This window comes from Homo sapiens, chromosome 7 (genome assembly GCF_000001405.40).
Source record: "Homo sapiens chromosome 7, GRCh38.p14 Primary Assembly".
Lineage (NCBI taxonomy): Eukaryota > Metazoa > Chordata > Mammalia > Primates > Hominidae > Homo > Homo sapiens.
In genome coordinates this window covers 1,703,522-1,728,134 of record NC_000007.14, presented here as the reverse complement: position 1 = coordinate 1,728,134, position 24,613 = coordinate 1,703,522, and the positions used below count along the sequence as shown (strand labels likewise).

The following is a 24,613-nucleotide window of genomic DNA, read 5'->3' as shown; positions in this document are numbered from 1 at the left end:
CTGGAGCAGGAGAGGCAAAAAGAGAGGCCCCTGGGTGGAGCAGGAAGGTCTGGGATCCAAGTCCGGCCCTGCCTCTCAATGGCTCTGGACAGAAAACCGCCCATGCAAAGGGGTGGTGCTTGGACCTCTCGGCCTCTCTCAAACCGCTCCCCTGCACACAGGGTGGAGAGAAGGCCCATTCCCTGGGCATTCAAAAGTCCAACAGGCTGCAAATAAGGACTAGGGGAGGTGAGGCACAGTGGCTCACCCCTGTAATCCTGGAGCTTTGGGAGGGCAAGGTGGGAGGATTGCTTGAATCCAGGAGTTCAAGATCCGACTGGGCAACAAAGCAAGACCCCATCTATGCAAAAAATAAGAAATCAGCTGGGCATGGTGATACATGCCTGTAGTCTCACCTGCTTGGGAGGCTGAGGCAGGAGGATTCCTTGAGCCCAGGAGGTGGAGGCTACAGTGAGCCATGATCACACCATTGCATGCCACCCTGGGTGACCAAAAAAAGACTACTGGATAAGGCCAAAGCATCCAGGCAGACAGAATATTGGAAGGGAGTGGAGTCCTCGAATTGAATGAGGAAATGAAGGGAGGCCCCTTGAGTGGGGCTGGGGAGACAGCTTGGGGCTACCCTTCTAGGGCAGCCCAGGACTGACCACAGGGGCACCCCACTACTGAAGGTCCCAAGACTTAGTTCCTTTCCCTGCCCCTCTCATGGAAAAGAGAAAAGGGAGGATTCAGCCCTAGTTTCTTGGCCTCTGGAAACAGCTGAGCTTCAAGAGATACCCCCACCAGAATAAAAGCCTCAGGAGATAACCCCATCAGAATAAAAGACCTTGTCTCATCATTTCTAGCTACCCCAGGGAGAAGAGCAAGACTGCATGGTGGAGAGGCCTGGCTGAAGCTTGGGGACTCACACTCACCATCTCCACCCCCCTCGTGTGCTCATTCATTCTTCATTCTCACAATCATTCATTCACTTGGTATTTATTGAGTGCTTGGGTGTGGGCAGGGAAGGAACCAAGATGGACGGAACAGGGTTGCTGTCTTCATGGATCACAGAGGCTATGAGTGCTGAAGAGAACACGCGTGATGGAATCCCACAGCCCGACCCCGATGCTGGACACCGATCCTGTTGCCTGCTGCTGTGTGCCCCTGAGTAAGTAGCCCACCCACCCTGGGCTTCAATCTTTGTGCCTGTAAAACGACCCTCAGAGGACTAAACAAAAGGACAAATGATGGGAAGAACCCAGCCCGGCTCCTGTCTCAGCAGACATGGGTCCCCTACGGAAGAATCGGGACGTGCAGGGGCGAGTTCTGGTGGAGGAGGCATCCCAGCCCGCCTGTGGGCCCTACGGGTAACAGCTGGGCTCATGTCCCACCTGAGGCTGGGACGACGGCCCCTCCCCTCTTCTCAGGGTGACACCCTTGCCGTGCCTCTGGCTGTCACCTCCCACCTGCTCACCTGTCTGTATCCAGGAGGTAGAGGGAGAAGGGACTTGGGGGCCCTCCCTGGACAGAGCCTGGGCTAGAAGCGAGTGGCTGGCTAGCTCTCCCTGGAGGCCTGGGTCCCCTCTGCAGCAGCTGCCACACCCCAGGGGATCCAGGGACCCCGGGGAGCACACTCTGGTGGGCGTGAGGCCTCGGGGGAGCTGGGCCAGCTTGGCCTTGGGGAGGGACTTGGCGTGGTGTTGGGCTGAGCGTGCCGCCAGCATATGTCTGAGCGGGCACATTTGGCAGGGTCCATATGCTGACTGCTATAAATAGATCTTCTCATTTAGGCTTCAAAGGGCCAAGGTGAGGAAGAACTGACAGGGTTTGGAGAGGCACGGTGCAGGCAGGGCTGCGGCTCTCGGCTTGGGGTGGGAGCACCACCCAGAGACCCACAGTGGCTCATGTCCCCATCCCAGCATAGTGGCCGGGACAGAGCTTGGGTGCGGTGGCCACAGGGCAAGGAGGGGTCAGGACCGTGGCGGGTGCGGACCTTGGAGCCCTGCGTTCTCCAGCCGAAGACCCACTAGGCCCTGGGAGAGAATAGTGCGTGTGTATGAGTGTGATTTTTGTGTGTGTATTGTGTGTGTGTGTATTGTGTGTGAGTGTGATTTTTGCGCAAGTTGTGTATTTGCGTGTGAGTGTGATTTGGGGTAAGACTGTACTATGTGTGTGTGATTTTTGTGTATTGTGTGACTTTTGTGCGTGTGTATTTGTGAGTGCGAGGGTGTGTTGTGTGTGATTTTTGTGTGAGTGTGTATTTGTGTGTGATTTTTGTGCGAGTGTGTACTGTGTGTTATTTTGAGTGTGTATTATGTGTGTCTGAGTGTGACTTTTGTGTGAATGTGTACTGTGTGTGTGCGCATGTGTGGGCATGTTCTCTGGCCCCTCCAGCCATGGGTCTACCACTTGCCCCGCCCCACCCTTTCCCGACGTGCACACACAGACGTGCACACATGTGTTACACACAGGAGCGTCTAATTACTGCCTCACAGCAGGCGGGCGTCCGACAGCTGGGGCAGCCAGAGGACATTCCATTTTCGGTGAAGCCGACAACACTGGAAACCACCCAACTGGGGTGTGAGTGCACCCTCTCAGGAGTGACTTAGTCAATGAGAGGCAGCCGGCCCGGGAGGGAGGCCTGTGTTCTGCTCCCACCCCACCCCCGCTCTGCCTCACACCTGCTGCCCTCCCTCCCTCCCGTCTGTCTCGCTCCCGCCTCTCTAAGGCTGCACCGACCTGGCAGACACACGCACCTGTCACCGGCCTCGCCTGCGCCCTGTCCCGTCCCACTGTCTCCTCTCCTCTCCACACCACCAGGGCCCCCGCCAGCTGCCAGGAGCCCCAGCACCAGCTGTGGGCGGGATTCTGGCCGGGCAGCCTCCCTCTGGGAATCATCGGCCTATTCCCTGGGTTCCTTCTTCCCTAAAGACAGTGCCTGGCCCCTGCTGTGGGCCAAACTGCCTGCACCCACCAGGTTTTGGGGTCTCAGGGTCACCTGCTTCCCCTCCCTAATCCTGGCCTCTGCCCCACTTCTGGGAGACCCCTTTTTGATCCCCAGCCCAACCTTGCTCAGGGACAGAACCACCCTCTGGGGTGCAGGGCTGGGCTGTGACACCTTGTTCTGCCTCCTGGGCTGTGCCCCTCCCCACAGGGGCCTCGCCAGGGCCATGCCCGGCATGGTGGGGAGGGGGCTAGCACCTCACATCAGGGCAGGGCCAGTGTCCATTGTGAGGTAAGGCGATGAAGATGATGATGCCCTCAGAAGTTGGCAAAGAGGCTGACACAGGCCAAAAGGGGTGCCAGGGGTGCAGGACGGGAGGTGGGTGTGAGGCACAGGTAACCTTGACCTTGAGGAAGGGGCAGTGGTGGCCGTGAACCTGCGAATCCACGGAGAAGAATCAGGTGAGACACACCCGGCCTCTGTGACAGGCCCTGGGGGGAGTCGCGTTCATGGGGCCCCGGGCTCTGGCAAGGCTGTGGTCAGTGATCACTTATGCTTGAGTCCCTCAAAGGGCGGGGGTTCCCCAAAGGGGGTCCGGGTGGGGGTCACAAGCTCTGTCCTCACCTGGTTCTACCTGGGAGCAGCAGTTTGGGCGAAATTTGAGAGTTTGCAGGAGGGCCAGGACCAAGATCCAAGCCTTCCCTCCTGCTGGACTGATTGAGGGTCAAATTCATCTCCACAAGTCACACAGGGCAAAACTCACACCCACGTAGCCAGCCAGCAGGGAGGTGGGGCCGCACGGCACCTCAGGGAACAGGAAGACCAAGAGCAAGTTCAAGGGTAAACACGGTCACCTGAGAAGGCAACGCGGGCTGACTTAATAGAGATCTGTTAGGTAGAATAGAGGAGGTGATCTGGTTCTGCCCAGCACTGCTTAGCCACGATGAAGGGTTTGGTTTCAGACCTCCAGGGAGATCACAAAAGCTCATGCTGACATTGCACCTACCACGCGCCAGGCACTGTGCTAGAAACTCTGCATATATTAACATGTTGGATACTTATGGTAACCCTGTGACGTCTGTGCTGTTATTTCCATTTTACAGACGAGGGGCAGACATGTTCGTGAACTTGCCTGAGTTCCCACGGCAACTAAGTGGTGGGGCCGGGGCCTAAGCCAAGGCAGCCTGGCCCCATAGCCCCTGTGACTAACCACATCCCACGTGGCTCACAGGTCAGCGTGGGCATGTTTCCGGGTGAATGAGTGGCCTCAATGGGAGGGGACACAACGTCAGCTCATCCAAAAAAAAGTGGGAGGAGATGGGGTGTCTGGCTGAGGGCAGGGGCGTCAGGTGCACTGCAACTTGCAGAGCTGCCTATAGCAGAAGGCTCCCCAACCCCGTGCAGGCACTGCATGTGGCCACTCCTCATCCTCCCAGAGACTTCTCCATGCCTGACAATGACAGCAGGACCCAGTACACAGTGCTGGAAAACAACTAGGCAACATCTCACCAAGGCAAAGATGCTCGTGGCCCACGAGCCCAAGCCCCAGGCCGGGGCACAGCCCTGGAGAAGCTGGGAGAGCTGCCCAAAGATGTTCATAACAGCATTGTTTATAATGGTGACAGGGCAGACACCAGATGTCCATGAGAGAGTGGACCAGAACCTTGTGAGGCGTGGGCCCGATGGAGTACTATGCAGCAGTGAAAAAGAAGGAACCACAGAGCCATGTGCACAGAGTGGATCCCACTCACAAATACGCCTCCCAGCCAACAAGCAAGCTCTCCAAGATACCTGCTGTACCACACGCCATATCCAAAGCGTCAGAGCCTGCAAAAGCGTATTACATAGGCGTTTGTACAAATATGGTCAAAGTATACAAAATGTGTCACGATAACGTTGTGGAGGTCTGTCGCACAACACCGCAAATCCACTGAACACCACTGAACCGCGTGCTGAAATGCTTAAGATGGTGAATTTTATGTATATTTGACCACTATGAAAAAAAATTTTTTTTGAGATGGAGTTTCACTCTTGTCACCCAGGCTGGAGTGCAGTGGTGCGATCTTGGCTCACTGCAACTTCCAACTCCTGGGTTCAAGTGATTCTCCTGCCTCAGCCTCCCGAGTAGCTGGGATTATAGGCACCTGCCATCACACCTGGCTAATTTTGTATTTTTAGTAGAGATGGGGTTTCACCATGTTGGCCAGGCTGGTTTTGAACTCCTGACCTCATGTGATCTGCCCACCTTGGCCTCCCAGAGTGCTGGGATTACAGGCGTGAGCCACCGCACCCAGCCAAAAAAATTTTTAAAGAGAAAGAGGGATAAAGGATCTAGAAGGGGAAGCTTTCATTGCACAGGGACTAAGCTGGGAAGGGGTGGGTATTTAGGTATTCATTGTATTACTCCTTAGGTCATTGATTGTATTAAATATTTTATAACTTTAAAATATTTATAAGGGATTTCTTAGATATTTGAGACATCTTAAATATTTTATAATCAATTTTAAAATGTTTTAGAAAGCAATGGGCTGCCATATAAAACTAAGCTCCCCATTAGTGGAGGTATACAAGGAGAGGCAGGACACCAGAGACGGTATTAAAGTACTGGAGTGGAAGTTGGACTGAAAAAGTGGCTCCTGCCCAGGCGCGGTGGCTCACACCTGTAATCCCAGCAGTTTGGGAGGCTGAGCGGGGGGTGGATCACCAGAGGTCAGGAGTTCGAGACCAGCCTGACCCATATGGTGAAATCCTGTCTCTACTAAAAATATAAAAAAATTAGCCAGGCGTGGTGGCAGGCACCTGTAATCCCAACTACTTGAGAGGCTGAGGCAGGAGAATCGCTTGAATCCAGGAGGCGGAGGTTGCAGTGAGCCGAGATCGCGCCACTGCACCCCAGCCTGGGTGACAGAGTGAGACTCCATCTCAAAAAAAAAAAAAAAAAAAGTGGCTCCTAAATTGGGCTAGCTGTGAGGATGACTCATGAACTTTAGAAAAAGAGGCTTCCAAGACGTAACTCTGGGGTCCTGATTTGGTAAGTCTAGGTAGGGCCAAGCACCTGTACTTGTTAATGTGCCCACTTCTCCAGCTAGACAACCTGTCTGGTCTAAGCACTGTTTCTCTAGTCCCAAGGACCAGGCCTGGGCCACCCGGGCCCCTGACCAGGTCAGCCATTCCCAGGGCTGCGCAGAAGACCGTCCACTTCGCACCTGTTGTAGTAAAGGATGGGATGTACACACCCCAGAATGTTCTGGGAGCCGTAAGCCAGGGGCCTCTGGCAGTGAGTCACACAAAAGCTCCCATGGCACAGATACAATCACTGAAGACCAGAGAGGGGAAGGGAGTGTCACAGAATCACAGGGGACCGAGGGAGACTTGAGCTTGGGCCTTCTCGTTCCCTTCCAGGACCTCCCTCTGCCATGGGCAGGGGTACTGATTGGCTTCAAAAACTCCTGGACAGCAGATCGTGAGCGATGGTTTTGGGTGCAGTCCCTCCCTCAGAACACCCTCCTCGACCCTGACAGGCCCGGCTTCCTCTGGGCACTGAGGAAACACCCGATGGACTGAGTGTGGTGGGCTTGGCAGGTGCGTAACTCGATGCCCTGCATGCAAATGGTGCCCGTGAGAAGCTGAACCTTCATCTCACAGGCTGATGGCTTTAAGGCCCCAGCTGTTCTTCTTCCAGCCGACAAGGCGTTTAAAGCACCTACTATGTGCCAGACGCCACGCTAGGGCATGGCACAGGGCAGATGCACTGTCCAGCAAGTTCGCTGCCTTGTGTGTGCCTTCCAGCGTGCCTGGAGTCACATCAAGAGACGCTCCCAATATTGGCCTCTGCCCCCTGAGAGCTTGCACTCACACACTTAGGCCCTGAGAGGGAAAGGGATTTTCCCTGAGTTACACAGTGAGGTCATCCCTCTCCAAGGTGACACCCCTGTAGCTCCCTGAAAACATCAGGCCTGGTTGGGCAGCCAGGAGGAGGGTGAGTGAGTGATCAGCCATGTAACTGCCTCCCACCGGCTCTCCCTCCCCCAGTGCAAGTTGCTAAATCTTTCTGTGCCTCTCAGCTACCTCACAGGGATGAGAGAGCTCATTACAGTAATGCCAGACAGGTTTTATCCAATGTTTAATTTTGCAAGTGCTGACACGTGTTTATTTAAACATGTTATTAAACACATAGAAATACCATGACGTGGAAAGTCTTCTGATCATTCTCATTTTCCAGAAGAGGAAACTGAGGCACAGAGAGAGTGCAAGGGACACGTTGGTAAGGGACACAGCTGGGACCTGGGCCCAGGCAGGATGGGTGTGGGGCTGCCTCTGTACCAGCGGAGCATGCAAGGTCTGAGTTTGAGTTAATGCTCACTATTTAGTAATCGTTACTTCAGACGATAATACAGTGATGTTCTATGTTACATAATAAAAGTAAGAGCTTACACTGTGGAAGAGAGATCCAAGTACTAGGTGCGGGGGGTGGGGGGTGCTGGGGGGAGGAAGGGATCCCACCACCGGAAGGGGAGAGAGGTGGTCTCCAGGGCCTGAGATGCACTGGAATAGGAAGGAGCTTTTAAGGAGCTCAGAAAGGCATCACAACCTGCTGAGGTTCTTGGCACACAAGCTGGCGCAAAGAGCCATCTGGTCTACCACCTGCCTGGTTAGATGGGGCCCGGTTATTGAAGGCGGTTTTCCATTCATTCATGCCACAAACCTGCACGCTGGTTCCCTGGCTCATGGCCTCGGTGTTCTCTGCTGTGCCTGGGTGGAGGCTGGGGACCCATTCCTGAGGCTTGTTGGGGCATAGCTGGCTGCCCCTTGCCCGCAGCTGTATGGGCCTCCTGGCAGGCGTGAGCCAGCAGGCCTCTGGGAAAATCAAGGGCAGGCAGAGGAAGCCTGGGGCCCACTGTGGAGACGTCTGCCCACCGGCTGTTCCCATCTTCGTCTTCCCACTGGAGTAAGGGCAGAGGCCGTGGACTCCATCCAGCCTGGGCCTGAGTGCAAGGATAGTGGCTTCCCTGGGACAGGGAAAATGGGCAGAGGGTGGGGTTTAAAAGGAGAGGTGTCTGGCTGGGACATCTCCAGGCAGCATCAGGCTCGCAAAGGACACTGTGCCAGAATGCTGTCAGCTGAGTCTTATTTCTGGGCTGAGAAAGGGGAACCCAGGACACGGAATGCCGGGTGGCTGGGGCTGGGGTTTGCAGAGGAGATGGTGGGGGAGGGTTTGCAGAGGTGATGGTGGGGGAGGCCCCCACCTGAGTGCCAGTGGCTGGGGCTGGAGCTTGCAGAGGTGATGGTGGGGGAGGGTTTGCAGAGGTGATGGTGGGGGAGGCCCCTGCCTGAGTGCCAGTGGCTGGGGCTAGGGTTTGCAGAGGCGGTGTTGGGGGAGGGTTTGCAGAGGTGATGGTGGGGAAGGGTTTGCAGAGGTGATGGTAGGGGAGGCCCCCCACCTCCTAGCCATTTGCTCCTGGCCTGATCCCAGTGCTTCGAACCCCACCATTTGGGGAGATTCCTCTGGGCCCTGTTGTGTCTTTGGTTTTCAAGAAGATGCCAAAGGTCTGCCAACAGATCTGGAAAGGGCAGTGTCCTCACAGAATCAGAGTCTGTGGCCCCATCCAAACTCGGCTCCTCCTTCTGTCGGTTGAGGTAGGGAGGGAGGGCACTGCGGGGGCTGGGAGGCTTGGGGAACAACAGGGCCATGTCTAAGACACAGGGGTCTCCAGGGGTGGGTGTGTCCAGAGGGCCCTGTCTGCGGAAGCGGGAATTAGACGGGGCTGCCTAGCCCAGAGCCGGTCCTGTTGGTGGGCGGGGCCCTGTTGGTGGGCGAGGCCCTGTTGGTGGCTTGGGTCCTGTTGGTGGGCGGGGCCCTGTTGGTGGGCGGGGCCCTGTTGGTGGCTTGGGTCCTGTTGGTGGGCGGGGCCCTGTTGGTGGGCGGGGCCCTGTTGGTGGCTTGGGTCCTGTTGGTGGGCGGGGCCCTGTTGGTGGCTTGGGTCCTGTTGGTGGGCGGGGCCCTGTTGGTGGCTTGGGTCCTGTTGGTGGGCGGGGCCCTGTTGGTGGGCGGGGCCCTGTTGGTGGCTTGGGTCCTGTTGGTGGGCGGGGTCCTGTTGGTGGGCGGGGCCCTGTTGGTAACCCCTGGGGGTGGAGATGGAGGCACTCATTCAACCCCAGATGTGATTCAGGCACTCAGGCCCCTGGACAGCTCCGGGCTGGTCCCAGACACTCTTGGGGGCAAAAAAAGAGGAAGCTCACGTTTCCAGCCTCCTGTGCATCCCATCCTAAGAACCCCTGGAGTGTGGCTCCGCGGAGGTGAGATTCTCAGGAAGAGAAATGAGGGCAGAGGCCCAAGACCCTTCTGTCCAGGATAGGATGCCAGAGAGGTCACAGCTGAGGTCCACAAACCAATCAATGGGCGAGAGGGAATCTGAACAATCTGAACCAACACGGCCAGGGAGGGGGCCCTTCTGGAGTCCTAGAGTGGCTCCATCATTAACTTGAGTGTGACCGAGGACCTCAGCTTCCCCAGCCAGAACACAGATGGGAGAGTCTCCAGGTGGGGTGACCGCACATCCTGGTCCGCCCTACTGTCCCGATGTCACTGCAAACGCCACCTCTTTGTACTCTCAGAAGTGCTCTGGTTTGGACACTAAGTTACATGGTCGGTGTCTCTCTGGGCACCCTTTGCATTCAAAGCATGCTAATGATTTCCTCATATTTCAACTTTTAGCAAGAAAGGCTTTCGGCCAGGACCAAGGAGAGGGCCTGTGGATAGGTCAGTCACCCCCAATGCTACTTCCCATTCTCCAGTCAGGCCCGCTGAGGGTGACCCACTCTCCCTTCTTCCCACAAGGTACTGCGGCCCCAGGGTGTCCAGAGGAATGAGTGGCCAAGACCTTTTGTTGGTCCCTATTCTCCTCTTCCTCCTTTACTAATTGAACTCCAAATTTAAGCTGGACCCACCTAAATACTACATTTCTAGCTTCCCTTGCACGTAGGACCACATTCTAGCCAACGGGACGTGAGTGGAGTTGAAGTGTTCCACTGGTGAACGACTCCCTTAAAAGGAATGGGCATGCATGCCCCTTGACAGCTGGGATGCAGATGTGATGGTGGGAGCGGGAGCAGCCACTTTGGTTCCAGACATGGAAACTGCAGGTGATGGTGACAGAGCCACCCTACCAGCCCTGGGCCACTGACTTCTGGCTGTTTGTGAAAGAGAAATAAACTTCTATCTTATTTAAACTACCGTTCTTCAACAGCTTGTCCTACCTAATACAGATGAGAGGCTTCTCGCTCAGAGGAGCAGATTACAAGGGAGGGGGCCTGGCACAATCTGGAGGTACTCTGCGCATAGGGGGAAGGGAGGAGAAGCAGGACTACAACTTCCTCCTCCCCTGCGACCTGTCCCTGACATGCCCACCCTGGCACCACAGCCCCACCCTGGCCATCCCTATATGCTGCACATGCCACGTGTGTTGGAGACGCCACTGTTTCTGCCATCTCTCATACCCGAAAGCACCCTGTGCCCCTCTAAGTTCCACACACTCTTCTTTCCTAGAAGGCCACTCTGATCTGTCTGATTCTCTGAGGTCTGCATGCATGCACCGTTCCTCTCTGGGAAGGTCAGGCTCCCCCATGAACCACATCCCCAGCCAGGCCTGGGCTCCCAGGGGCACAGCTAAGGCTCCAGCTCCCCCGGCACCTTCCTCTGAGTGGAGCACACAGTAGGACCGTAGCATGTGCCTGCAGACTGGACACACTGCCTACCTCCACCTGCCCCTTCCTGGGTGTCCCAGAGTCTCAGCGTGTCAGCTGAGCAAGCCTGGAACTGCGGCCCACTGAGGTGCTCATGGCATCTCAGGGCCATGCTGCAAGCGGCCAGGCCAGGATACTCCAATGTCCTGAGCAGCCTAAGCTAGGGCAGGCAGAGAGCCCCATGGGCTGCTCCAGGTACCTGTGATCTCCATGCAGAGAACAGCAAGGCTGTGATACTGGAGTGTGGGTGGCTCTCCTGAGCTCCGGCTCTGGGCAGATGCACGGCCCCTGTCTGCCTCTATTTCCTGCGTGCGGCGGCACCACTGATGCCTATCGCTCAGGGCTGTGGTGTTACGGAGAGGCTGCATCAAGAAGGTGCTCAGTAAATGTGTCCTTCTCCTTCCACGCCTTTCCCCCTCCTCCCTCCTGCATGCTCTGGCAGAGAAGCAGCTCCTTGAGCTCTGGGCCACATCTTTCCAGATCAAATCATTGCTATGAAAAAACAGCAGCCCTGTCTACTAATTTCCCTCTGGCTCCCATGCCCCATGCCGGCTGCCTGCGCCCTGGCCCCTGCAGATCCTCCTCTTCTCCCTACTCTCCTTCCTCTCCCCTCCCCCTCCATGGCTGCCGTCAAGCCAGGCCTTGGTGCTGGCCTCCTCCCCAGGCCCTCCAGTTCCCCTGCACGCTCTCTGACCCACTTTAGCTGCTGGAATCACAGTTTCCCGGGTGAGGCTGGGGGAGTGCGGCTGCAGTCCTGGCTGTGAGTCACTGGGGCTGAGTTTGCAGGGGGAGGGGACAGCTATGACACGCATGCAGCCCCAGGGGTCATCACGTGACACGTATGCACAGGGATGCCTACACCTGTGTGTGCAGAATGTGGATATCCTTGCACATGCAGGGGACCTGGGGATCACACCTGTGCAGGCATGTAGCCGGGCCAGCCTGGGGCACACAAACACGCACGCACACACAGACATACGCCCACGTCCAGCGGCAGGAAGGAAGGCAGCTAAGGCTCTGGAGGGAGGATGGGGGAGAAAGACTCAGTGGCACCTGCCCAGATGGCTCGCCGGGCACATGCCAGGGCCCCAAGAGGGCTTCAGAATTTACCCAGGCCGTCACCTCACCAGATGCTGTGTGAGCCCCTGGGGCCTCCACAGCACACAACACGATGACCCTAGACCCTCTGGCTGTGGGACCAGCAGGGAAACCTGGAATTAGCTCAAGCCAAGGCTGGATTGCAGGGTAGTAGGACCTCAGGGTGGGCAGAACCTTGGGGTGGGCAGGACCTTGGGGTGAGCAGGGGATGGGAACACGTGGAAGAGGAGCAGGCACAGCTGAGAGGGCTCCTGGCTTCTCATTTACTTACTCACAGACCCTCACCCCCAACTCACTGAGGAAGAGCACAGAGAGGTTACATGACTTGCCTCTGTGTGCACAGCTGGTGAGCAATGGCGCCCACAGTTAAACCTGGGCCTGGGACAGATCCCTCCTGCTGGGTGCCAAACAGCAGGTCAGAGACCAGGGGTCAGAGGCCAGAGTTCAAAGTCGGGGGTAGGGTCTATGAAGGGAGGAGGCCAGAGCTCAGGCTGAAAGACAAACTCTGCGGCAGGGATGGGCAAACTGGGGCCGGAGGCAGCCTTCAGGAGCCCTGACCCAGGGGGAGGAGGGAATCTCCAGGTCCTGCCCAGCGGGAGAGGCCAGAGGCAGGGGGCTGGGCATCTGCAGCCACGCCTTCTGTCTGCTAATTAAGTTACAGGAGTCACAGGATGTAAATTACAGGAGTCACAGGATGTAAATTACAGGAGGAAATTAAAAGACAAATGAAGATCTAGGAGCAGAAGCTGGATCCCTGCAGCCTGGCCTGCCTGCAGGAGGAGGCTGATTGCAGCGGGGAAGGGGCTTTCTGGGAGGCAGAAGTGGGCAGGAGACCCAGGTGCTGGGGAGGGGAAAGGAATAGCTCCCTTCTCATCCAGGGTGGCCCACGGGGCGACTCCATCCAGGCTGGGCTTGGGCAGTCCCAGGTGTGTGCAGAGGGGAGACAGGATGGAGGCAGGGGGTGCCCTTGTGCCGGGCTCCTATGAGGAGAAGCAGCCAGGTGTGGGGTGGAGGCGGAAGCAGGGAGAACCCAGGCTGGGGGATGCCCCACAGTGGGCCGTGGCTCATCTCACAAATGCCAGCATGCAGCCTTGTGAATACCACCAGGACAAGGTCTATTGCCTGGCAACTAGTAGGTGCCAAACAACTACTTGGCAAATGAATAAGACATATAGTAAGCACCAACCCAAAGGCAGCAGTGACTGCCGTGGGCAAGAGAACGGCTCTTCTCTGCCGTTGGCTGAGAAGCTTCCTTCTCAGGCTGTTGGCTGCTACCTTCCTAATGACAAGGAACAGACTTAGCTGGTGTATTCCCTTCTCCTTCACCTCTACCCCACTTCCCAGTTTCCTGCCTGGGATGCAGATACGATGGCCAGAGGTGTGGCAGCCATCCTGAGGCCATGAGGACAAACGTCCGCAGTGGCAGAGCAGGAAGCTACAAGGAACCTGGACCATTGACAACCCCCTTAGGCTGTGTACCAGCTCCACTGCTGCTGTCTTTGCGTAAGAAAAATGACCCCCACGTGGGGTTCAACCATGCAGTGTTTAGGTTTGTCTTGCGCAGCCAAATTCAGTCCCTAGCTGACACAGCATAAAATACTACTGAATCATTTTATGAGAAAGTTACTCTCACTTTAAAACTCTTGATTACAACAAGAAGAAAGTCTCAGATCAGGGTTGGTGAGTCTTGAACACCTCTGCACACTTACTGCTCTCCCTTTTTAATAAAGCAATAGTAGGCCTTGGGCTCTGAGCCTCCCCCGGGGCTACAGCATCCAACTAGAATTTAATAACATTGTTTTGTTTCCACTGAATTTATTTTTATGATTATGAATTCTATTTATGGCAAGAGAGGCTTGTTTTCCATTTGTAGTAGTGCTATAAATCTTCCCTTTTAAATAAATGTATTTAAGTTTTTAAAAACTGAATGGATTTAGAGGAAGGCGGTAGGCTTGAAGTCAGAGGTGGTGTGGGGGGTGGTGAACGGACAGCTCTGGTGGGGATGCTGCCCAGCCCTGCACTGCTGCTTTGAAGGACAGTCTGTCCCGGGCAGGGGGAGCGGGCAGGGCTGGGGTGGTTAAGCCTGGCCCCTCCGCATGCTGGGGGCTGAGCCTCTGTCGTGAGAGGGTTTGTTCCACCTGGAGACAGGCGATGGGTTTCCCTTGGGGCTGGGGAATCTCTAGAAGATGCAACCTCAGAGGCGTAGGCTGGTCAACTGGGCGATGAGCTGTGGGCTGTGACTTGAAGCTGACCTGGTCACTGAGCCACTAACTCAACGTCCCAGGTTCCTTCCAGCCCGCCCGTGTGAGGCATGACTTCAAATGCGGGGACTCGGGGAGCCGGCGTGACCTTTTGCTGATTAGCTCGTGCTGTTTGCTCAGCAGCCGCCAGCTGATCTCTGGACGGCGGCTCAACATGCCAGCCACAGCCGCCTGTCACCCTCTGGCAGATAAACAATTGCTCCTGGAGAGGTGGGGGAGGGGAGCCGGGCGTGCGGCAGTGCTGGGGGAGTGGCACGCAGGGTGCGGGGATTGGCGAGGTGGCCTTGGGCGAGTCGCTGGGATGCCAGCCCTGCACTTGAGCAGCACCTCTGCTGGCAAGGACATCGCCCCCCCCTCCCCAGAGAGGGAAACCGAGACCTACGGAGGGGAAGGGGCTTGCAGAGAGGGTCTGGGCTCACCTCCATGGGCTCCCAGGCCCTGCTGCCTTCAACAGGCCTCTGCCTCCTATCACAGCCACCGGCCTCTCTCCCTGGTGCTGAAGGAGTCCAGCCAAGGTCACCCAGGGTCACAGGATACCAGAGAGCCCCTTCTAAACTCTCAATCACTGCCTGGATAAAAGCAACTTCTAGGGACCAGGCCTTGAACACAGGAAGTGGAGGGGAGGGGCAGGGGCTTTAGAAGCTGGGAAACTTCAACTCGCTGAGTGACAAAAGGATGTCCCTAGAAGGGATCTCGGAAACAATGCGTCCCACCCCAAGTTCCTGAGGAAGACTCAGCGGAGCGGCTGCCTCCACCGTCAGACCGCACAGGAGCCAGGGCCCATCTGTCTTGCCACCTGCCTTCTGAGGTGGGCCGGGCTGGGAAGCGTCCCATCTACTCATTCAACAAACATTTATGCACTGTCTCCCACCTGCCGGGCTCTGAGGCTCACAGCACAGAGTCTGCAGCCTGGGGCTGAAGCGAGAGAGAAGACAGAGATTTCATGCCTGGCGAGGACTCCGGAGGCTATGGGGCTGGGGTGATCCCACCAGGCTGTGGTGAGCCTGGAGGAGCCTGAACTTGGGCTGGGATGGAAGGACAGATATCTGTGGGAGGAAGGAAAGAACTAACATGGATGCAGCATCGGTGTTCCGGAGACTGCTGAGTTCCCACTCCATGCTCAGGGCAGTACCCAGGGTGGTCGAATGAGTATCTACTTGATGCCAGGCGGTCTACACATCCCACTGAACGCTTCCCTCCTGAGGGGCCTTATTTTCCCCATTTTATAGATAAAATGTGGGCAGGGACTTGAAGCTGTCCTGATAAAAGATAAGAGATAAAAGAGGGACGCCAGAGGTAGAAGATGACTTGCCCAGCATTTCACATCCAAAACCCAGCAGGGCAGAGCTTGTCTGACTTTTAAAAAGGAAAGAAAGCCTGGGTGTGGTGGCTCACACCTGTAATCCCAGCACTTTGGGAGGCTGAGGTGGGCGGATCACTTGAGGTCAGGAGTTTGAGACCAGCCTGGCCAACATGGCGAAACCCCGTCTCTACTGAAAATACAAAAATTAGCCGGGCATGGCAGCAGGTGCCTGTAATCCCAGCCACTTGGGAGGCTGAGGAAGGAGAATCACTTGAAAATTGGAGGTGGAGGTTGCAGTGAGCCGAGATTGCACCATTGCACTCCAGCCTGGGTGACAGGGCGAGACTCCGTCTCAAAAAAAAAAGAAAAAAAAAAAGGAAAGAAGGCTGGGCACCGTGGCTCATGCCTGTAATCCCAGCACTTTGGGAGGCCGAGGCGGGCAGATCACGAGGTCAGGAGATCGAGACCACCCTGGCTAACGGGGTGAAACCCCGTCTCTACTAAAAATACAAAAACTAGCTGGGCGTGGTGGCGGGTGCCTGTAGTCCCAGCTACTCAGGCCACTGCACTCCAGCCTGGGCGACAGAGCGAGACTCCTTCTCAAAGAAAAGAAAAGAAAAGAAAAGAAACAGACAAACTTGGGGGACAGGGTGTTTCCGGCAAAGGGACCCCCACACGAAAAGACACAGAGAGGGAAGGCCCGTAGCTGCTGCCAGGCATCTCAAGCAAAGCCCAGCTCACGCCTCCCAACCACTGTCCCATCCCCAACGGCTGTGGCAAAGGCCTGGGGTCCGCACAGCCCAGTCTGCTGTCCTCGCCCTAACTGTCCACACTCTGCCGCAGCCCTGTGGGCCTCTGTGTTCTCTCTGCCGCAACGTGGGTCTCAGTCTGGAGGCCAGGGGGTTCCTGGGCTCCTGGCACGGTCCGAGCTGCCGCCCCCTCCCCCAGACTGCCCTGTCTTCCCAAGAGCTCCCAGCCCAGGGAAGCCTCATTGAGAGAGGGTCTGTGGGGACGCCCTCACATTTCAGGTGGGGACACTGTCATCCACAGAGGGGCAGGGGCAGGTCACTGTCACAGGGCTTTGCTCTGGTAGGGGATCAGCACAGACTGGATGAATACACGAAGAACTGAAAACTGGGATTTCCGTTTCCGAGTGCGCTTTCTCCCTTGTCTCATTCTCTCTCTCTCTCTCTCTCTCTCTCTCTCTCTCTCTCTCTCTCTCTCTCTCACTCTCTCGCTCTCTCTTCAAGGTTTTTCCTTCCCATGTCTCTCTGAGCCTCCGGCTGTCTCCTCCTCTTTCTGGAAGTCTCTATATTTTCTGGGTCTCTCTGTTCCTCTCTCATCTCCTCCTCTTCCCACACTCCCTGCCCTTCCCTCCCCTCCCCTCCTCTGGCCTCTGGATGTTTGGGGCATAGGCTGAGTAGGGGTCCCACAGGCGGGCCTCAGTGGCAGCTGCTACCACCCACCCCTGCACAGCAGACCCACCCTGGGTTCATTCCCTCATTTCCACTTTCTAGGCCAACCGACAGACCCACATGGAACACAGTCTGCACACAGGGAGGACATCACTCCACTCTGGAGACGCAGCCCCTCGGAGACTGGTCCACATATTCCCAGGGGAAGGGTATCTTTCCTGAAATACGAATGTGGTATTGAGGTCAGCAGGGCTTGGAGGGATCCCAGATGGGAAGGAGGGACTATCCCACTGGGGAGCTGGAAGACCTCAGATAGGGCCAGGTAGGGGCTGGCATTTGAGTCCCTGCTGATCCTGGCTCAGGCGGGGCAGCCCACTGTGCCGCAGGGAACTCCAGGCTGGGGGCCTGGAACACCTGGGACCTTGCCCTCACTTTGTGAAGATTTTGCTGGGTGGTCTCAGGAGTGAGTCCCTTCCCTTCTCTGGGCTTCAAGTTCCTTATCTATAAATGAGAAAGTTGGGTTCATGATCCCGAAGGTGCCTTCCAGCCCTAATATTCTAGGCAATATTCAAGGCAGCAGAGCAGGACAGAGCTAACAGCAGCAGTGGACCAGGGGCTGGGGCCTGGGCAGGGAGCAGCCTGCCCTGGGGACCCCATCACCTGCCAGCCTTTGTGGGAAGGAAAGAGAAAGACGTGGAGAAACGAACACTGGCCTGTGAGTTAGAGGAGACCTATGGCCCCGATCTGACTCTGAATCACCATGTGGCCCCCCGGGCCTCAGTTTCCCCACCTGTAACATGAGACAGCTGCAATGGATAAGACTTGAGGGCCTCCCAAATTGGAGATGCTACAAGCTGTTGGCAGGGCCAATGCTGTGCGTGGAACCCCTCCCTACCAAGTCCTGGTGAGGCTTTCAAATAATGCCTTAGTGGCAGGGGTGAGGGGGCAGGATAGAGCCTGGGAAATGAGGTCCTTTGGGATCCCTCCCCAGAGTTCAGTTCAACTTGTCTTCCTGAGATACCTCCCTCTAAAAGCTGTGGAGAGGTCTGGGGAACCATCTGACCACGAGCAGAAAAAGGCAAGCCTTGGGAGGTTCTAGACAGATTGTCTGTCCCCCCATGTAATGAAGGAGAGAACCCGAAAATTCCCAGATGCCTTCCTCTTGTGGTCCATTGGAATTGGCAGAACATAAGGAATACAACCACTTTAAATAAATTCAGTGTATAGAACTCTTCAATATGGAAGACAAGCTATTTATTGAGGAAACCCACAGTCTAAAATCCAGACTTTTCAGTGTACTGTGTTGCTTAACAATAGCGCCTCCTTCTGGTCAAGTTAGATATTACAACCGAGCTCTATTAGACAAAGAAACTACGGAACAGGACCTGCTAAATTTGAAAACTGCTGAGTTGGAGTCCCAGAACTGGGTGAAGTACAGTTTCCCAAATCCAAAGTACAGTTGCCCAGAGAGGACATATCTGCTATTTCTGAAAAATGCTGCAGAAAAAGAACTTGTCCAGCTACCTTCCCAATGCAGAATGAAACTCAGAAAAGACACAGCATAACTGGGTCACCAAAAGATCTGGCAAGCCATTGGGATGGAGACCTCCACCTGCCTATTCACCTAGGCATTCAATTCAACATTTGTATATATTTTTCCAGACAAGAACCTGCTTCAAATACATACTGCAAGTCAATATTAACCTACGTGACCTATGCCGTGTTATTCACATAGTGGTTTTACGCTCAAACACTGGACCATATCTGATCACAAAAGTGGTGGAAGATGAAGTCTCCTCTAATCCTCAGGGCTGATCCTGGCTTGTCAGGGAAGGATAATGGGCATACCCCGAGTATGGCCACCACCTACTTAGACTATTTCCGGGTCCCCCGGCAGCCCCAGGCTCCTTTTGTCCAATTCCGAGGCCACCCCTGCGGCCTCTGTCCACTCCCTTCATCTGAGGGCAGCACCATTGAACAAGAGTCAATCCCTAAGAAACGCTTATTTCTGCAGGACACCTGGCTCTGTCTCCATCTCCTTCCAGGCACACGTACTCACAGGTCATTAGGAATTGTTCCTGTCCCCCTTCTCTGCAACCCCCTGCGGAGAGCATGAGGAACAAGAGCATGCCTTACTTGTGTGTCAGGGCCCGCCAACGACCTGATGCACCAGCGAGGAATAGGCTGGAGGATTCCTCCCTGCTGGGCTCAAAGACATGTTCGCCTCATTCCAGCACACAGAAGGACAGCCTGGGTCCGGACAAACTGTAGGACAAATGGTCGCCAAGGCAGCTGCACCTGCACAGAGACAGAGGGGAGGAGGTTGAGGAGAGATGGAGCATCGCCTCCTGCAGCCGTCTCAGCTGCTGGAAGACCCCACCTGCCGGAGCCACCAGCTGTCAGTCACACGTGTCGGACTGCAGGTACGTCACACCTCAAGAACAAATCAGAGAGGCTGGGGACTTCCTGACACACAGAGCAGGCTGACACACAGAGCCATGTGCCAGCCGGGATAGAGGGGAGAGGAGCCAACAGCAGATGCAAGATATGAACTGAACTGCAGACCGAGGGAGTTGCCAGACCTGGGGTCACTGCAACCAATTCCAGCTCTAGTCACTTGGCGGTGGCCCAGGTGTTTGGGGTAAAGGTGGGGCTCACTTCTGGGGCTACAGCCCCAGAGCCTCTGGGGCTGTTGGGTCCGTGGGAACCTTCCAGGCACATCGCATCCAACATCCCTCCAGGAGGTGAAGGAAGATGAAACAACAGCTGGACTGATTAGGTAGAGACCCTGGGTATGCTCACCAGAACTGCTCCACCCCTGGCAGGGCCCTCTCCCTGGCACCTCCCACCCCAACTGCCTGGGAGCAGAGTATGCCAAATGCCAGGCCAGGCCAATCACTGAGAAGGAAACTAAGTCAGGAGGCAGAAGCCTCAGGCCCAAGCGCAGCTCTGTGCTGGTCTGCTGAGTGACAGACCTTGGGCTGGTCAGTGAACTATGCCGCCCACAGGTCAGGTCATTCGTCCACCCACTGGATCAATCCCAGGAAGCTTTACGCACCCAGCCCTGGTGCTGAGGATTCTCCAGGCCTCATCTCATTTCACCAGCGTACTTGCTTCCTTCACCACGAGGTGGCACCTGATCCCCATTTTGCAGATAGGGAAACTGAGGCTGAGAAGGGAAGTCGTCCTGCCAGGGTCGCACAGCTGGGGTGTGGTGCAGAGCCCAGCCCCATGAATGATGCTTTTGCATCTGGAGGGCAGGAGGGGAAGTGCTGTGGGGTGCTGGTGGGGTGCAGGGACCAGAGGAGGTAGTGTCTGCAAGACAAAGGGGGGTTCTAGGTGCAAAGGGGTTCGCGAGGTTGGTGCAGAGGCGGGGGGTTGGTGCTGGGCTCTGCCGCATCCGCGCCCCTGGAGGCTGAGGGAGCCTCAGGAGGCCCTAGTGGGGGCCAGGAGGGGCCCCCCGGTCTGTCTGTCTGCCTGTGCCCCGCTCCCACAGCTCCAGGGACAGAGTAAGTGCTAGAAGGCGAACAGGAACCTGTAGCTGGAGGAAGTGTGTGTGTGCAAATAGATGAGTGAGTGGCATGTAATTACCTAAAATTGTGGGTTAGAAGCAGATGTAAATAACCAAAAAATACGTGGGGAAGTGGGGGGATGCTCATCAGTTAGAGATTATTACTTAACCACTAATTGAAATAATAATGGTGTGTATTTGAATATGCTAATGAGGTTGAACCTGTGTTGGAAAAGGTAACTGAAATAAAATAAGAGGAGGCTTCCAGGCCCACACCCGCTCTGCCCCAGGCCTTTGCTCTGTGAGCCGCCCTGCCGTCTACCCAGCCCGTGCCTGCTTCCTTTGCTTGGTCCTGCCCAAGGCCCCTCCCAGGGCACCCATCAGCCCCAGGGTTGCCCCTGCTTCCCGCGCTGGGAGGGCAGATGCTGCGATGCAGGGCGTTTGCCCACCAGCCTCCCGCAAAGCCCCAGGGAGAGGCAGGAACGCATGCTTGTGGAGTGCCTACTGTATACCCAGCCCAGCTCTGCAAAGCACTCCATGTTATAGACTAGGAGACAGGCGTGTGCAGCCAGCCTGCAGTCACGTGGAGGGGTCGGGCCAGGACGCGGATTTCCAGCTGCTCTCGGACTTTCCAGCAAAGCCATCCAAAAGCGGAACAGCCAGACATCACGGAACCACCGTGTCACTGTGAGCAGAGGCCCAGACCCCTTGGGAGCGGGCTCTGCATGTTCTCACATGCGTGTGCTGGGCACGGTGTGCACGTCAGGGCACCTGCCCTGGAGCTTTTCACTCTCCATTACCGTCGCAAGCAGACTGTGAGTGTACACAGACATGTATGTGCGTGCACACATGTGTACACGTGTACGTGTGTTGCACATGTGTACACATGCACATGAACTCATGCATGCGCACACAGAGGCATGCACACTCAATGACACAGGCACACCCATCGCTCTCCACAAAGGCTCACTCAGACACATCCAGGCCCAGGCATCCAATGCACCACCTCGGGCACAGCCTGAGCTTTAACCCAACATCCTGCCTAGCATCTGCCAACGCATGGCACCCGAGGGGCTGGACACAAGGTGGGGTGCAGGGGCCCACTCATCCACCCTGTAGAAGCCAGCCAGGCCTGGAGGGTGGTCTCTCTGGGGCTGTGCACTTTATAGGGGTGAAGGTGATTAGACAACCTCACAGTGGTCCTTGCATTGCTGCTAGAAACCCATGCTTCTGAACAGCCAGCATCGATCAGGCATTCGTGGGGTCACTGGTGATCTAACACACAGCAGCTGCTGGCCCAGGGGCTGCACTGGGAAGGCCGGGGGCACGCCCAGATTTGCATGTCGTGGAGGGTGGTGTGGGTGGCAGCAGTGCATGGTGGAACTTGAAGGATGTGGAACTGCTGGGTGTTTTGTTTTGTTTTGTTTTGTTTTGTTTTGTTTTGTTTTGTTTTTTTGAGACAGAGTCTCACTCTGTTGCCCAGGCTGGAGTGCAGTGGTACCATCTCGGCTCACTGCAAACTCTGCCTCCTGGGTTCAAGCAATTCTCTGCCTCAGCCTCCCCAGTAGCTGGGATCACAGGCACCCACCACCATGCCTGGCTAATTTTTGTATTTTTAGTAGAGATGAGGTTTCACCATCTTGGCCAGGCTGGTCTTGAACTCCTGACCTCGTGATCCACCCACCTCGGCCTCTCAAAGTGCTGGGATAACAGGCGTGAGCCACGGTGCCCAGCCAGCTGCTGAGTTTTGAAGAAGTGGTGGCTCCTGCCCTTGTATGTGGTCCGCGGTGGATCGGAGGAGGAACCCAGAGGGAGGCTAGGCTGGCAGCTCAGCGACACCACCACTGCCGTGACCTGGACAAGCCCCTGGAATGCTGTGCCTCAGTTTCCCTCCCTGTAGAACAAGGACGATCGTGACCATCCCTTTGTCAGGGTGAAGGCTCACAGTTCAATCTCGTCTGGAACCGCAGGCTGGGGAACCTCAGAGACCACTGGGCTGGAGGGGTCAAAGCTAAGAACCCACCCTGGAAAATACACAGGCAGTTTTGTCTGTGATATTCGGGGGCTCATCAGACCTCCCCGAGGACCATCCCGGGACACTAAGACTCTACTTTACAGAAGGGCAACAAATCTGTGCAGGATGTTGTGGACAGGAAACCGAGGCCCAAAGCCATCCACTGAATTGCCATGAGCCAGAAAGGGCAGGGCCAGAAAGGGCAAGGGCCCAGAGGGACAGCAGCCCCCAGAGGCGAGGGTAAATTGAGGCTCCGAGTGGCTGATCACACAGGTGCATGGTGAGGCTGTGAGGCCTGCCATCTGAGGTGCCCACTGTGTGCCGTCGGAAGGGGGGCCCAGCAGTGCCCTCGGGCAGGCAGTGGCGGCTGCCACGCTGGACTCACTCCCCTGGCACCCTGGCGGTTGGGGGGAGCTCCTCCTCCTCCTTCCAGGATGAAGAACAACTCATCAACTTGCAAATGTCCGGGTGAGAGGGTTGGAAAAATGAAGGCGCCCAAACTTGACATTTGCATTTCAAACACTTATATCAGCAAAACAAATAACAGTAATTATACCATTTGCATATTTTGTGCAATGATTGTTTAGCGAGGTGGGGAGGAGGGGCGCCTGCTGATGCCAGCAGCCCAGCCTCCCGCACAGCTGTGCCGCCCCGCCCAGGGTCCCTGCCACCCTGCACCTCCATGCTGCCCACCCCTTGGCCCTGTGGGTGTGACCTGCAGCCCTCAGGCTGTTACCTCCTGCGGGCTCTGCCCTTTGGCCACTGGGTGTCCCTCTGTTCTCCAGTACGCGCCCCCCACCCCAGCAGGTCTCCACCTCTGCCCTCTGCACTTGCTGTGCCCTCTGCCTGGGAGCCTCTCGCAGACCCACCCAGGCTGGCTCCTCTGTTCAGGGCCCATCCTCACTGTCCCCGTCTCCACATTCTGACGGGGACACGCACGGCTGCCTTCTCTCCAGCCGGGAGCTCCATGAGGCTCTAAGCTGACCTCGAGCCCTGGTGGACAGGGCTGACCCTTGGTGTGGGGCCTGCCCAGCCCACACCCCAGCATACAGCAGGCAGGCCCTCAGCAGACAGGTGACGTTGCCACTCAAGTCCCTGCCCCCTACTGGGGGGCTGGGCACCTGGCTGTGGAGGGGTGCCCAGACCTGGCACTGACCTCGCAGGGGTGACGTGATGTGGGGTCTCAGAGTGAGGGAGACGGGACTCCCAAGCAAGGGCAGTGGGTGATCTGACTGCGTACCCCAGGTCACACTCAGGACCCCAAGCTGACCCCCACCTAGTACTGCTGTAGGTGGAGCCTCCTGGGGTGGGGAGGAGTCGAGACCCAGTGACCCACATGGCTTTGTGTGTATCACCATGTGTTTACGGAGGGTCTGGCTGTGTGTGAGCACGTGTGCACATGCATGAGTGTGTGTGCATGCAGGTGTGCTTGTGTGTGCATGTGTGAGTGTCTGTGTGCTTGTGTGTGTGTATTGTAGGTTCTCCAGACAACGCTGGTCCTTTTGTCCGGATCAGGACCAAGAGACTGGGTCTCTGGGTGCCCATTCCCCACAGCCCAGTTTTGGGGTGAGGAGGGGGAGAGTATGGCCTCCATCGGTGCTGGGAAAAGGAGGTGGCCCCACCCACCAGCCCACTCACAGCTGGCAGGGTCCCCCACCCAGAGGCCACCATGCCCGGCTGCAGGCTCCCTTCTCCTGAGTGGCAGCCGTAACAAGAACAACAGCGGTTGTGCACCTGTGGCAAATGCCAGGCCCTCCCATGGGCTGACTTGCAGAACCATCCTCCAGCCCCACGAGGAGGTGGAAACTCCAGCTTTATTATCCCTGTTTTCAGATGGAGAAACTAAGGCACACCGCAGTGACACCTCTTGCTGAAGGTCACACAGAAGAGCCGGGATTTGTACTGAGCCCTCCCGGCCCCTTGCTTTTTGCAGGACAAACCCCCCAGCACACAGTCCGGCGACAGCCCTTACAGGACAGGTGTCATCAGTACCCGCATTTCACAGACTGGGAAACCGAGTCTCAAACATACACAGAGACCTCCCCAAGGTTACACTGGATGTAGCTAAACTCGGCCGAGAGTTCTTTGCTTTGGACTGAAACTCAGGCAGAGGCTGCCAGTAGGATTGTCCCCGTGGTAATTAGGGCTCCACAATCAATCCCAGCGCACAAGATGCCACCTCCCTGCTTCCTTTAATCTCCCCCGCTCAGCACCGACAGAGGAAGCTGAGCCCAGAGACTTGGAAGTGCAAATGAGGCCCCATCCCCTGGTAAACTGCAAGCGGCAATTAACTCCTCACTTCACACCCCACAGCCCCACAAATTCCAGACGGGGTAAGCAGT

The 24,613-nt window shown here is 56.3% G+C and overlaps 2 protein-coding genes and 1 long non-coding RNA gene across 11 annotated transcripts in view, besides 9 other annotated features; 2 read left to right on the top strand and 1 right to left on the bottom strand.

The window, feature by feature from the left end:
• Positions 1-24,613, bottom strand: part of ELFN1 (extracellular leucine rich repeat and fibronectin type III domain containing 1) — an 81,883-nt gene that overhangs the window by 19,812 nt on the left and 37,458 nt on the right. For 7 of the 8 annotated variants that reach the window (NM_001394188.1, XM_006715725.4, XM_047420363.1 and 4 more), the window contains one exon: positions 18,883-19,044. The gene's annotated coding sequence lies outside the window, so the exon portion shown is untranslated. Of the gene's footprint in view, positions 1-18,882; positions 19,045-19,804; positions 20,145-24,613 lie in introns of those variants that run through there. The other variant, XM_006715727.4, reaches the window with a different exon arrangement.
• On the top strand, positions 1,755-7,111 carry LOC105375124 (uncharacterized). Of its 2 annotated transcripts, XR_001745057.2 has the most exons (4): positions 1,755-3,387; positions 4,030-4,157; positions 4,552-4,895; positions 6,329-7,111. It is a non-coding gene; the product is annotated as an uncharacterized LOC105375124 (long non-coding RNA). The 2 variants fall into 2 exon arrangements; XR_001745059.2 differs by lacking the exon at positions 4,552-4,895 and having other exon boundaries at positions 3,265-3,387.
• Positions 2,878-3,464: an enhancer, noted in NCBI's record as "H3K4me1 hESC enhancer chr7:1764307-1764893 (GRCh37/hg19 assembly coordinates)". NCBI's record gives its function as "activates a minimal SCP1, AML or CMV promoter by ChIP-STARR-seq in primed H9 embryonic stem cells {active_cell/tissue: H9 hESC(primed)}" and the evidence as "EXISTENCE:reporter gene assay evidence [ECO:0000049][PMID:30033119]".
• Positions 7,750-9,996, top strand: LOC124901819 (uncharacterized). The gene is made up of 4 exons (XM_047421176.1): positions 7,750-7,874; positions 8,700-9,223; positions 9,642-9,764; positions 9,910-9,996. The coding sequence occupies exons 1-4, from the start codon at positions 7,750-7,752 to the stop codon at positions 9,960-9,962; spliced, it is 825 nt and encodes a 274-aa protein (XP_047277132.1). The 3' UTR covers positions 9,963-9,996.
• Positions 10,285-10,984: an enhancer, noted in NCBI's record as "H3K4me1 hESC enhancer chr7:1756787-1757486 (GRCh37/hg19 assembly coordinates)". NCBI's record gives its function as "activates a minimal SCP1, AML or CMV promoter by ChIP-STARR-seq in primed H9 embryonic stem cells {active_cell/tissue: H9 hESC(primed)}" and the evidence as "EXISTENCE:reporter gene assay evidence [ECO:0000049][PMID:30033119]".
• Positions 10,985-11,684: an enhancer, noted in NCBI's record as "H3K4me1 hESC enhancer chr7:1756087-1756786 (GRCh37/hg19 assembly coordinates)". NCBI's record gives its function as "activates a minimal SCP1, AML or CMV promoter by ChIP-STARR-seq in naive H9 embryonic stem cells {active_cell/tissue: H9 hESC(naive)}" and the evidence as "EXISTENCE:reporter gene assay evidence [ECO:0000049][PMID:30033119]".
• Positions 13,604-14,503: an enhancer, noted in NCBI's record as "H3K27ac-H3K4me1 hESC enhancer chr7:1753268-1754167 (GRCh37/hg19 assembly coordinates)". NCBI's record gives its function as "activates a minimal SCP1, AML or CMV promoter by ChIP-STARR-seq in naive and primed H9 embryonic stem cells {active_cell/tissue: H9 hESC(naive and primed)}" and the evidence as "EXISTENCE:reporter gene assay evidence [ECO:0000049][PMID:30033119]".
• Positions 14,504-15,404: an enhancer, noted in NCBI's record as "H3K27ac-H3K4me1 hESC enhancer chr7:1752367-1753267 (GRCh37/hg19 assembly coordinates)". NCBI's record gives its function as "activates a minimal SCP1, AML or CMV promoter by ChIP-STARR-seq in primed H9 embryonic stem cells {active_cell/tissue: H9 hESC(primed)}" and the evidence as "EXISTENCE:reporter gene assay evidence [ECO:0000049][PMID:30033119]".
• Positions 18,624-19,124: an enhancer, noted in NCBI's record as "H3K4me1 hESC enhancer chr7:1748647-1749147 (GRCh37/hg19 assembly coordinates)". NCBI's record gives its function as "activates a minimal SCP1, AML or CMV promoter by ChIP-STARR-seq in primed H9 embryonic stem cells {active_cell/tissue: H9 hESC(primed)}" and the evidence as "EXISTENCE:reporter gene assay evidence [ECO:0000049][PMID:30033119]".
• Positions 19,125-19,625: an enhancer, noted in NCBI's record as "H3K4me1 hESC enhancer chr7:1748146-1748646 (GRCh37/hg19 assembly coordinates)". NCBI's record gives its function as "activates a minimal SCP1, AML or CMV promoter by ChIP-STARR-seq in naive H9 embryonic stem cells {active_cell/tissue: H9 hESC(naive)}" and the evidence as "EXISTENCE:reporter gene assay evidence [ECO:0000049][PMID:30033119]".
• Positions 21,897-22,606: an enhancer, noted in NCBI's record as "H3K27ac-H3K4me1 hESC enhancer chr7:1745165-1745874 (GRCh37/hg19 assembly coordinates)". NCBI's record gives its function as "activates a minimal SCP1, AML or CMV promoter by ChIP-STARR-seq in primed H9 embryonic stem cells {active_cell/tissue: H9 hESC(primed)}" and the evidence as "EXISTENCE:reporter gene assay evidence [ECO:0000049][PMID:30033119]".
• Positions 22,607-23,316: an enhancer, noted in NCBI's record as "H3K27ac-H3K4me1 hESC enhancer chr7:1744455-1745164 (GRCh37/hg19 assembly coordinates)". NCBI's record gives its function as "activates a minimal SCP1, AML or CMV promoter by ChIP-STARR-seq in primed H9 embryonic stem cells {active_cell/tissue: H9 hESC(primed)}" and the evidence as "EXISTENCE:reporter gene assay evidence [ECO:0000049][PMID:30033119]".